Source organism: Homo sapiens, chromosome X (assembly GCF_000001405.40).
Source record: "Homo sapiens chromosome X, GRCh38.p14 Primary Assembly".
In the NCBI taxonomy this organism is placed as follows: domain Eukaryota; kingdom Metazoa; phylum Chordata; class Mammalia; order Primates; family Hominidae; genus Homo; species Homo sapiens.
The window spans coordinates 108083847-108096482 of record NC_000023.11 but is presented as its reverse complement, the minus strand read 5'-3'; the positions used below and the strand labels follow the sequence as shown (position 1 = coordinate 108096482).

At 38.4% G+C, this 12636-nt stretch overlaps 2 protein-coding genes across 14 annotated transcripts in view, besides 2 other annotated features; one reads left to right on the top strand and one right to left on the bottom strand.

Annotated features, from left to right (window-relative positions):
* The window catches only part of ATG4A (autophagy related 4A cysteine peptidase), a 65843-nt gene extending 58189 nt beyond the window's left edge, over positions 1-7654 (bottom strand). For 6 of the 12 annotated variants that reach the window (NR_135608.2, NM_001321290.2, NM_178271.3 and 3 more), the window contains exon 1: positions 4647-4705. Coding sequence is in view for 4 of the 12 variants with exons in the window: in NM_052936.5 (NP_443168.2) it covers positions 4647-4656 (10 nt within the window). In the remaining 8 variants the exon portion in view is untranslated. Of the gene's footprint in view, positions 1-4226; positions 4706-7512 lie in introns of those variants that run through there. The other 6 variants (XM_047441801.1, XM_047441802.1, NM_001321287.2 and 3 more) reach the window with 3 other exon arrangements.
* Positions 4503-4742: an enhancer, noted in NCBI's record as "active region_29839". NCBI's record gives its function as "activates an Ori minimal core promoter by ATAC-STARR-seq in GM12878 lymphoblastoid cells {active_cell/tissue: GM12878}" and the evidence as "EXISTENCE:reporter gene assay evidence [ECO:0000049][PMID:35858748]".
* Positions 4793-5192: an enhancer, noted in NCBI's record as "active region_29838". NCBI's record gives its function as "activates an Ori minimal core promoter by ATAC-STARR-seq in GM12878 lymphoblastoid cells {active_cell/tissue: GM12878}" and the evidence as "EXISTENCE:reporter gene assay evidence [ECO:0000049][PMID:35858748]".
* PSMD10 (proteasome 26S subunit, non-ATPase 10) lies at positions 4941-12276 on the top strand. 2 transcript variants are annotated; one of them, NM_170750.3, is made up of 5 exons: positions 4941-5076; positions 7633-7731; positions 8384-8530; positions 8631-8718; positions 11356-12276. In NM_170750.3, the coding sequence occupies exons 1-5, from the start codon at positions 4963-4965 to the stop codon at positions 11361-11363; spliced, it is 456 nt and encodes a 151-aa protein (NP_736606.1). In that variant the 5' UTR covers positions 4941-4962; the 3' UTR covers positions 11364-12276. The 2 variants fall into 2 exon arrangements, with proteins under 2 accessions (NP_736606.1, NP_002805.1); NM_002814.4 differs by having other exon boundaries at positions 8631-8797.

The window sequence follows — 12636 nt, the reverse complement described above, 5'->3', positions numbered from 1 at the left end:
CTGTACCTCCATAATCAACTAGAGAAGTATTTATTGAATATGCAGGGCACTTCTGCTCTATACCAACTATGACTGGCAGGCTAAATTCAGCCCATCTCATGTTTTTGTGTGGCAAGCAAGGTACGAATGATTCTCATAATTTTAAATGGTTGGAAGAACCACCTTCAAACACTGTTAGGGAACACTGAATGGCTTTGGAAATTAACTTTTGATGCAGGCTGGATAATGTTTATTAATTAATTCAACCTAAAATTACAAGGCAAAACAATGCTTATATATGAAAAAAACTGTAGTAAAGTCATTTTGACAATATTATTTGAATCACAAGTAATGTCAAGATGCTTTATCCACTTCCCATGCTGTCACAAGTCAAAACAATAAAACCACAATTAAATACCACTTTATACCCACTAGAATGCCTATAATCAAAAAGATAGATATTAATAAGTATTGGTAAAGATATGGAGAAATTTGGCTGGATGTGGTGGCTCACGCCTATAATCCCAGCATTTTGGAAGGCCAAGGTGAGCAGATCACTTGAGGACAGGAGTTCCAGACCAGCCTGGCCAACACGGCAAAACCCCGTCTCTACTAAAAATACAAAAATTAGCCGGCACGGAGGTACATGCCTGTAATCCCAGCTACTCAGGAGGCTGAGGCACAAGAATCACTAGAACCTGGGAGGCAGAGGTTGCAGTGGGCTGAGATCATGCCACTGCACTTCAGCCTGGGCGACAGAGTGAGACTTTGTCTCCAAAAAAAAAAAAAAAAGAAAGAAAAGAAAATAAGAAAAAAAATGTGGATAAATCTGAACCCTCGAACATTGCTGATGGGAAGGTAAAATGGTACGGCCACTCTTGTAAAGAGTCTGAAAGTTTCTCAAAAACTTAAACAGAGTTACGATATGACCCAGCAATTCCACTCCTAGTTAAGTACCCAGAAGAAATAAATGAAATCTCAGCTGGACATGGTGGCTCACACCTGTAATCCCAGCATTTTCTGAGACCTAGGTGGGAGGATCACTTGAACCCAGGAGTTCGAGATCAGCCTGGGCAACATAGTGAGACCCTGTATCTATAAAAAATCATAAATTGGCTGAGTGTGTTGGTGCATGCCTGTAGTTCCAGCTGCTCCAGAGGCTGAGATGACAGGATTGCTTGTGCTAGGGAGGTGGAGGCTGCAGTGAGCCGTGATCGTGCCACTGCACTCCAGCCTGGGCAACAGAAGAAGACCCTGTCTCAATAAAAAATAAAATAGGCTGGGCACAGTGGCTCATGCCTGTAATCCCAGCACTTTGGGAGGATCACCTGAGGTCAGGAGTTAGAGACCAGCCTGGCCAATATGGCGAAACCCTGTCTCTACTAAAAATACAAAACTTAGCCAGGCGTGGTGGCATGCGCCTCAGGAGGCTGAGGCAGGAGAATCGCTTGAGCCTGGGAGGCAAAGATAGCAGTGTGCCAAGATCGTGCCACTGCATTCCAGCCTGGGTGACAGAGTGAGACTCTGTCTCAAAATAAAATGAAATAAAAGTTAAAACAAGAAGCAAGATATCTATTTCCATAAGAATTTGCAGCATATATATTTTCTGAATTCAGACTACAGTTCCAGCAGCAGTTTTTGAACCCTGAAGCAAGTGCAAAGGATATTCCATATTCCAAAATCCCTTTAACTGTGCAATTGAGCAGCTTTCACCAAACTTTCAATTGGAAGTGATTAACCTGCCACATAATGCTAAAAGGCACTATTAAGAGAAGAACAGAATTCTATTCCACGCAATGAATATGCTCAATTAAAATCATGTTTGAGGATAGTGTATGATAAGAATGTGGTACTTGACCTCTGCAGACTTTCTTCCAAACACATAATGCCAGTCTAAGCATAAAATTGAGGGGTTTTCTACAAAATACCTGACCAGTACTCCTTAAAACTATCAAGGTCACCAAAACAAGAAAAGTGTGAGAAAGTGTCACAAACCAGAAGAGGCTAAGGAGATACAATGACTAAACGTAATGTGGTATCCTGGATGGGACAGCATCTCTAGAGATAAACTAGTGAAACTTGAAAAAAAAAAGCATGGGGTATAGTTAATAGCAATATACCACTGTGGGCTTATTAGTTGTGACATAGATAGCATAGCAATGTAAGACGTTAATGATAAGAGATTCAGCAAATGGTGCTAGGACAATTTCTACATCCACATGCAAAAAGATGAATTTAGACTCTCACCTCACATCACAGAGAAAAAATGAACTCAAAATGAATCATAGACTTAAATGTAAGAGATGAAGTAATAAAGCTTTTAGAAGAAAACATTGGAGAAAATCACTGAGACCTTGCAATTAGGCAAAGACTTCTTAAGTACAACACCAAAAGAATGGTCCATGAAAGAAAAAAAAATGATAAATTGAACCTCACCCAAATTCAAAACGTTTTCACTTCAAAAGACACCATCAAAAAAAGAAAAAGGCAAGCAACAGACTGGGAGAATATATGTGCATATCATATATCTCTCAGGGACTTGATCTAGAATATATAAACCATCCTTACAACTCAACACTAAAAAAACAAATAACTCAATTTAAAAACAGACAAAAGATATAACAGACACTTCACTGAAGAAGATATATGAATGGCTAATAAGCACATGAAAATATGCTCACCGTATTATAAATTATAATTTATAAATTAAAACCACAATGAGACACCACTTCACACCCACTTAGAATGGCTATAACAAAAAACACAGTAAATAACAAATGTTGGCAAGGATGTGGAGAAACAGGAACTCTCATACATTGCTAGTGGAAGTGCAAAATGTTGCTGCCATTTTGGAAAACAGTTTTGCAGTTTCTTAAGAAGTTAAGCATAAATTTTCCCTGTGATCCAGTAACTCCACCCTTAAGTATCTATCAAAGAGAAATGAAAAAAATATGTCCGCACGAAGACTTACATACTAATCTTCTTAGCAGCACTAGTCATAGTAGCCAAAAATTGGAAACTGATGTGCCTATCTAATAGTGAGTAGACAGATAAAAATGTGTTATATCCATAAAATGGAATACTATTCAGCAATAAAAAAGTAAGGAAGTACTGATACATACTACAATATGGATGAATCTCAAAAATATTATGCTAAGTGAAAGAAATCAGACACAAAGACTGCATATTGTATGATTTCATTTATATAAAATGTCCAGAATAGGCAAATTTATAGAAACAAAAAAGTAGATTAGTGGTTGTCTGGGGCTGGGAATGGGACAGAGGATTGATTAACTATAAATAGGCATGAGGGACCTTACTGGAGGGATCAAAAAGTTCTAAAACTGATTTATGGTGATGGTTGCCCCACTTCAGTAAAGTTACCAAAAATCATTTAATTATGCACTTGAAATCAGTGAATTTTATGATATGTAAAATGTGCCTCATTTTGAGTGAGTGTTATACAGGAACTCTACTAACCTTGCAACTTTTCTATAAATCTACAACTATTCTGAAATTTTTGAAAAATTAAATAAAAATAAAAATAAAAAAGTATATGTTTATGAATTGATATCAGTATTTGGCAGTACCTATCTATGTAAAATGACATTTTCAAAGATTAAATAGGTAAAAATTTCCTAACAGATCAGCATTAACAGATGAACACTTAAAATCAATTTTGACAATAGGGAACACTAATTCTGAGCCCCAATTAAGCAAAATATTATCCCCTAAAAAGAATTCTATTCTTCTCATTGGTAGTCTTCCTGTATTACAAAAAAAGTACTCAATTACTATTATATTTTGAATTTCATCAATAAAAATTTGTTGAAATTTGTTTTCTCTTTTGTCATAAAAGTACCAACAAAATATTCTTGATTTTGCCTTTTGGCCTACAAAGCCTAAAATATTTACTATCTGGCTCTTTACAGAAAGTTTCCCAACTCCTGTTCTACACTATAACAGGATAAACATAAACATCATGAGTCTCTTTCTTGAATGTATTCTTATCGTTACCTAGTTGTGGCATAATGTCCTCTGGATATGCCCTATAAAGGATCAGTCTTGCATTGCTTCTGCTATGGCACTATTTGGGATTTCTATAAAAAGAAACACTATTAGCTTAATAGTTGTAGCAAAGCCTTGACAACATAGTTAATATCGTGATATTAAAATGCCAACACCACAGCCCGGTATCCTTAAGATGACCCTCATCAAGCTGTGATGTCACCAGGCTATGGACTCACCGAGGTCTCTTAGATATCAGGTGGCTCCCACGGCATCACACCCTGCCTTTGGCATCACCCTGGCACATCACCTCAGTACGGTGCCATATGCTATCACTGCTGTGGTAGAACCCTGTCCTGATGCCACACCGCCGAGATGTCAGAGTAATTAACCCCCACTTCTTTCCACTCCCTAGGCGGTGGCAGGGAGGGGGAGGGTAGCCACAGTCACCGGTTCGAGCTCAGTAGGTAGTACTCAGCTCCAACCCTTGTCCCTTCCGCCTGCCACTGCAGGTCAGGAACCCCGGGGGACAGGACCTTTAGGCTCTCATAACTCTTGCCCTGCCCCCGAACCTGTTTCATATGGCCGACTCAACGACCCGCCAGCGACTACCCACCCCGGCTCTTTCACACGGTTCCACTCAAAGCCGCTCCCCGTACCTGACTCCATTCTCCAGCTGTCATCCTGGGCCAATTCCACCGGCAACTTGACTACGGACGGACGGTCGCTAGGATCCCTGGGACTTGTAGTTCTGCACTGCTAGGGGCCAAGTCTGTGAGGGCAGCAAAGGCGCCTCCCTGCCCGGAACTGCTCTCAAACTGCAACTCCCAGAGGCGCCGCGCGACGGGAAAAGAAAAGGGAACGAGGAAGGCCGGTGATTGGTGAAGCTCTAACGGCTGTTTTGACTGGCGTAGCCGGAGCCGGCGACGTGAGGCGGGCGTTGCTCGCGCGACAAGTAGTTGCTGGGACAGCGAAATGGAGGGGTGTGTGTCTAACCTAATGGTCTGCAACCTGGCCTACAGCGGGAAGCTGGAAGAGTTGAAGGAGAGTATTCTGGCCGATAAATCCCTGGCTACTAGAACTGACCAGGTAAAGCAACGCTAGGTCTCTCCGCAGTCGGCGACGTCGGCGAAGCCCTACGTGGCTTTCGGGGCCCGGCCCTAGCGGAGGCCCCGTTTCTGAGAGAAGCAGAACCCCGCCCCCGCCGCCCCAAGCAGTCCCCCTGGGTCACCTCGGGACTCGCGATAGGCCTGCGGGAGCTAGCCCCACAGACCTCAGATATTTTCCCGTTGGCCCGGAGCTCCGCTCCCTGATTTTTGGATAGTTCTAGAACGTCTACCGCATTTCTCAGAAACTCCCAATCAGTGAAAAGGAAGGCTTTTTATATGGATTTATTTACCTTTACTAGTAACTGTATTCAGTAACGCATGTGAAATTGAACGCCCCTTCCGTGCCAGGCAGTTTGCTAGGAGCTGGGGATACGGTGGAGTGGAAGATGCAGACAATAAAATAAGCACAAAAACATGTCCGATTACAAATTGTGGTAAATACTCGGCAGAGAAGTTTACATGGTGCTTTCAGAACACGTTAATAGGAGGATCTGATGCTGAATATGACTGTCGTTAATTGGAAAAGTTTTTGCAAAGAAGGGAAGGTTAGTTAGACTTTGAAGCATGAGTGGGATTTCCATGGGGGAATGAGTGGACATTCTAAGCAGAGGTAGACAGAAGTTTAGAAGTGTTTCTTTCTGCCCTCCTGCTCACAGGACTCTCGTGCTTTCATCCTCAGTTTCTAGGATTCATGGTGCCTTTAGTAAGCCCACAAATATTTATAGATGGCCTTGTGTTTCGCAGACAGTGTCGTAAGCACTAGTGAGACTGTCCCATACTTACAGATCTCCATTTTGTGTCTTTTGGGAGAGAATTAGAAATCAAGAGACTGTTTTCTCTTTTCTGGAACTTTCCTTTATTACTCAACCTGAAAATGGCCTTATCTTTACCTGGTTTACTTCATTATGGTCTGGTGATATTTAAGGATTTAAATTTAAATGTAATACTTTATATTAAGATTTAATACTCCATTGGAAATTTAACCATTCTTCAGTCAAGTCAGTGGCTTAAAAAGGGAAAGGAACTATTCAGCATCAAGAGACGTAAAAAACATGAAGAAATGCAATTTATGGATCTCGTCTGGTTCCTGATTTAAACAAACCAACTGCAAAAAGACATTTGGGAGACAGTTGGGGGCAATCTGAATACAGACCGGATATTAGACATTCTAAAGGAGTTAGTGTTAATTTTAGTAAGTGTAATAATGGTCTCATAGTTATATAAGAAATACCTTTATTTTTTACATACTGAAAGAGAAGGGTGAAAAGTCATGATATTTAGGATTTGTTTTTGGAAAGCTCAGCAAGGAAAAAACTAGTTAAAGCAAATAGGGCAAGATGTTTGTTGTTAAATCTAAGCAGTAGGCCTGTGGGTTTCTATTCTATTCCCTCTATTTTTGTGTTTGAAATTTTTTTGTAATAGAGTTTAAAATACCATTTTCTATTCTGTGGGGCTAAGAAGTATAGCAGTCACTGCAAATAGGGATTCCCTTTGACAAATAATGACTACTATAGCTTTTTTAATTTTTATTTATTTTTATTTATTTATTTTTTGAAACAGAGTTTCGCTCTTGTTGCCCAGGCTGGAGTGCAGTGGTGCCGTATCACCTCACTGCAACCTCTGCCTCCCGGGTTCAAGCGATTCCCCTGCCTCAGCCTCCCAAGTAGCTGGGATTACAGGCGCCTGCCACCACGCCTGGCTAACTTTTGTATTTTTAGTAGAGACGGAGTTTCACCATGTTGCCAGGCTGGTCTAGAACTCCTGACCTCGGGTGATCTGCCCACCTCAGCCTCCCAAAGTGCTGGGATTATAGGCGTGAACCACCGCACCCGGCCATAGCTTATTATTTTTTATAAAAAGTAATTTTCTTGTTTTCTGTGTGTTGTGTTTTCTAAATTATATTTCTAATTTATTTATGATTTTAAATTCTAGATAATTTCAACTAGTTTAATGAACATTTCTTCCCCCATTAGATTCATGTGTTCCTTCTACAGCATCTAACTTGAGGTCAGTGTGGTAGTAGAGATTTCAGAGTCAGAACTTCACTGACAGTTGTGCCCCAACTTCACCATTTAGTATCCATATGACCGTCCACAAGTTGCTTACCCTGAGGAGTTTTAGTTTCCTCATCTGAAAAATGGAGATAATAAGCACTGTGTAGAATGGTAGGAATTAAATGATACTATACATGTAAAACTCCCAGCACAGTGCCTGACATAAAAGTACGTAAATAATGTAATAGTAAAACAACCAAAGATGTATTTCTGTCAAAGCATTGAAATCAGTTTCTTGCTCTACTACTTTCCTTGTCGTATTCTGCCCAGAATTACGTATGTTCATCAATGTCATTCTCCCCATGTTACTTAAACCTTCATCTGTCTTATACCAGTAAGTAATATAGTTTAAGGTTACCTACCTGAGGATCCAGTGCTCTGCATTTCGTATTTTCAAACTATAGATTTGCCAGCACCAGTATTTTTTTTCTTGCTTTTTTGCCTTCTATTTCAAGAATGTTTCTATTACTGCTTCTCTGTAGGACAGCAGAACTGCATTGCACTGGGCATGCTCAGCTGGACATACAGAAATTGTTGAATTTTTGTTGCAACTTGGAGTGCCAGTGAATGATAAAGACGATGTGAGTACTTTGATAAAGTTGAGTTGATAAATTCCCAGTTATCTTTGTACTCCAGACTGGTGTTTACTGAAGCCTGTGCATTAAGCTTATAAAGAAAATTGTAACCTTTATGACTGGAAAGTTACATCATGGCCCTTGTGATCAAGCATGAGACTCATGGTTGCATTATTTTACAATGTTATGTTTGCCACTCATACTCTGTGATTTAAGGTAAACATACAGGAGAGGCTGAGGTAGGAGGATTGCTCCAGCCTAGTAGTTTGAGGCTGCAGTGAGCCATTGTACTCTATCCTGGGTGACAGACTGAGACCTTGTCTCTAAAAATAAAAAAACAAAAATAAACATACAGATCAGGGCTTGTTATGGTGAACCCTAAAAGACCATAAACTCTTTCTATTATGTTGGATTTTTTGTTTTTTGGTGAACATGGCCTGAATAATGAGGACCTAAATAACTTTTTTGTTACATAAAGAGATTTATTCTAATGATATGGTTATATTAGGATTAGATTTGTGAAGAGTAAGAATGGAACCTTTTTTGTAGGCAAATATTTTTTTGCCTTTGTAAAGCTCCTTGCTAACCCTTCCTAAATGTTAGCACTAATCCTTGTGCCTTTTTCCCCTGGTATTTCTACTACCTACTTCTTTTATAGGCAGGTTGGTCTCCTCTTCATATTGCGGCTTCTGCTGGCCGGGATGAGATTGTAAAAGCCCTTCTGGGAAAAGGTGCTCAAGTGAATGCTGTCAATCAAAATGGCTGTACTCCCTTACATTATGCAGCTTCGAAAAACAGGCATGAGGTATGGTTCCATCCTAGGCTACTTCTGTTGAGTTCTAAACGTGTATACAAACACAGATAGATTTCTGCATTGTTTTCTTCTTTCTTCTCCATCTTTCCAGATCGCTGTCATGTTACTGGAAGGCGGGGCTAATCCAGATGCTAAGGACCATTATGAGGCTACAGCAATGCACCGGGCAGCAGCCAAGGGTAACTTGAAGATGATTCATATCCTTCTGTACTACAAAGCATCCACAAACATCCAAGACACTGAGGGTAACACTCCTCTGTAAGTGACAAGTAGCAGTCATTTGTATTCTACCTGACATTAGCCTTCTTGCAATAATTCTTATACATCATTTCTTTTTTTATTCTGCTTATAAATGCAATACGTGTTAATGGCAAAAATGTTAAATTGCACAAAATATAAAGATAAAAATTGCCTATTATCTTGCCACTCAGAAATAACTACTGATCACATTCTTGTGTATTTCCTCCTGGTCTTTTATATTCAAATGTATATATTTTATACATACATATTTTTTAGCAAAATTGGGGTCATACTGTGTATGTAGTTTTAGCTCTTGTTCTTTTCACCTCATAGTATAAGCATATATTAAATATGTTTAAAACCTTTTTAATGGGTATATAAAATTCTGTATAGATGTGCCATAATTTAATCATTCCTCTATTACTGTATATTTAAACTTTTATGAGTTTTTCACTATTATAAATAATGGTACATTGAGCCAGGCATAATGGCTCATGTCTGTAATCCCAGCACTTTGTAAAGCCAAGGCGGGAGGATCACTTGAGGCCAGGAGTTCAAGACCAGCCTGGGCAACACAGCAAGACCCCCCGTCTCTAGAAAAAATTAAAAACTTAGCTAGGCATGGTGGCATGCACCTGTAGTACTAACTACTCGGGAGGTTGAGGTGGGAGGATTGCTTGAACCCAGGAGCTCCAGGTTACAGTGAGCTGTGATCACACCACTGCACTCCAGCCTGGGGAACAGAGCAAGACCTTGTCTCTAAAATAGTTGACCAACTTTGTACAGAAAACTTTTGGCCACATTTCTGATGATTACCTTCTTATAGACTCCTAGAAGTGGAATTGCTGCGTCAACAAATACACACATTTTAAGACTTGCTATATGTTGCCAAATTGCTTCCAGAGGAGTTGTATCATTTTACCCTCCCAACAGCAGTGTAAGAGTGCCTATTACCCCCTCACCAACACTAAATTATCCTTTTGTTATGTGAAAATGATATTTCATAGAGGTAATTTATATTTTTATTATCAGTGAATTTGAACTTTTTTTAATGTCCATAGGTAATTACATTTCTTATCTAATTGTAACTTTTTGTGTCCCTTTCTCTGTTTCCTTTTGGGGAATTAATTTATTTTCACTGGGTTTTAAGTGCTCTTGATTTGGCATGGTAAAATATTAATTTTCTGCAATGTTAGTTGAAAATATTTTTCCTAGTTTATCTTTTCATTTTGTTCATAATTTCTTTTACATAAGAGAAGTTTTAAAATTTCTACGTAGTCAAGCCCATTCATCTTTCCTCATGACTAGAAAGCTCTTCCTTACCCTGAAATTAGTTAAATATTCACCCGTCTTTTATTATAGGTTATTTTAACGTTTCATTGGTTTTGATTGAGGGTTAGTGTTATTGTTTTGCATTTAACTCTTAAAATCCATCTGTAATTGAATTATGTGTATGATCTGAAGCTGGCCTTTACCTTGATATTTTTCCACGGTACTTGGCCACTTTTCTTCTGTGTTGAATGGTGACTTTTTCTTGAACCAGAAGTTCTGTGAGTCTTCTTTTTAGTCCAGAGTGAGGTTCAGCCTTTTCCAATTTGACTTTAAGCCAACTTTTAAAAAGTATTATTTTCTTAACTCTTAGTTTTTAAAATCTTTCCTGCATTCTAAGAGACCCTGTTTAGAAAGACCTGTATGCCCTACCTCTTTTCTCCATAAATAGAAAGGCAGGATGGCCTAGAGGAAATCTAGGAGTCAGACAAGATAGAGTACTGGGACGAACATAGGATTTATGAATAGCTAGATGATGTTCACCCAATTCAGACTCTACCACTTACTAACAATATTAAATACTTGTATTAAACAATTTATAAAAGTTACTTAATCTTCCTTGAATCTTAATTTCCTCATCTGTAATATAAGGGTAATAATTCCTTCCTCACTAGATTATTGTGAGGTTTAAGTAAAGCAACATGTAAAGTGCCTCCTAATACCCTCCTGGCAAACTCTTAAGTGCATGGCAAAAGTTGTTACCCTCTTCCACTCAGTCTACTGCCAAGACATGTCAGCATAGGTAGGAACTTTAACCTCTGTCACCATTTCAACTGTAAAATGATGATAATAATACTTTGCTAACTTATAAGATAGATATATGGACTAAATGAGATAAAATCTTTTAAACTGCTTTTTCAAACTTTAAGCTGCACGAATTACTATTAACAGTTTATGAACTGAGGCTTTTCTAAATTCTAACCCTGAATTATTACATGTAGTGTTTGAGGTAAACAACTACTTATCTCTGTAAAATGAGAAAGTTGTTCCTTAGGCTAGCATTTAGATCCCTTCTTCTATTGTAAGTAGAACCAGAATTATGATTTACGATCTGGTATTACAAGGCTTTTTTTGTAGAATTTTAACTTACAGTCTCCCTATGCAAACTGATGTTTCTTTCCTGATTAAATAACTTTCCAATGTTACCATTTCTTAATCATATGCACTTCAGACTACCTAGCAAGAAATCCTAACCATTACATAGAATTGGTAGTGATTAATTGGTCTCTGGTGGTCCCTGATTTCAGACACTTAGCCTGTGATGAGGAGAGAGTGGAAGAAGCAAAACTGCTGGTGTCCCAAGGAGCAAGTATTTACATTGAGAATAAAGAAGAAAAGACACCCCTGCAAGTGGCCAAAGGTGGCCTGGGTTTAATACTCAAGAGAATGGTGGAAGGTTAAACAGCTTGGATTTATTCTTACTTTGTATGTTGTGTTGTTGTCCCCAGTGTCCTACAAACTAATGTATTTGTGCACAAGACATCATCTATGAATGATGAAGTTTTCTCACCTTCAAAGTCTTATAAACATGTTGACTCTTGTTCCTGCTGAGTTACTTGTTCGAAGCTTACAGCTTGTTTTCCAGGCATCGAATAACTGTTGAGATTGTTCTACTGTTGTCGTATATTCTTCTATATTGAATTCTGGTTAATTTGGAGTAACTAATTCTGTGGCTGTTGTGAGTCTTCAGCACCCTCCCATGTACCTTATATCCCTCTCTGAAACAGAACAGCTCCAATAGCAACAAGCTAGTTGTTCTGCCAGATGTTTCTATGTGGATTCTGTAATGTTCCTCCATACAGTTAAAACATCCTAACTTGTTTTTCAAGCTCACTCAGGCCTACGCCAAACGTTTCTGTTTTTTTTAACCATGAGGTTTAATTTATTTTTGTGATAGGAGGGATATTTACATATTTTAGTGGACCACATTTTAAGTTGGATGGTGTGCTCTAAAATACTGAAAAACAATAGCCCATATACCTATGTATTTGTTTTTGATGGGTTGTTTACTCTGAAATAAAATGTATGGTTTTCTTAAAAGGAAGTTTTAAAGTACCTATTTTGTGTCATCCTGTATTGAAAAGAATGTCAAGCTTGTTAAAATGACATGTAACAAAAATGTATTTTGATTTGTATTTCAGAAACTAAAAAATAAAATGTTGAAAGAATCTTCCAATTTTTCTTTCAAATTAGCTAGAATTCACTTAAGCCTTAGAATCCTTAGTAAAGACATTTCTCAGTTTTTGGTAGCTCTAAGTCAATAAAATTAGTGAAGCTTGAATTGTAGCTAAAATCTTTTAAAATAGCCATCTTCTGAATTGCTAATTAAATGTAGAACAAAAGGAAATTATTAAGTATAAACTTGAGCTCCATTTAGGGAAGCATCTTAACTGATACTAGTCATAAAATCTAATGAACTCCAAGTGACTTTCAGATTATTTTTTATTTGAATTTTATGCTGCAAATACTGCTCGAAATAAGTGATCCAAGTGAACCTACAAACTTGCATTAATTTTCGGTCAAAGTCT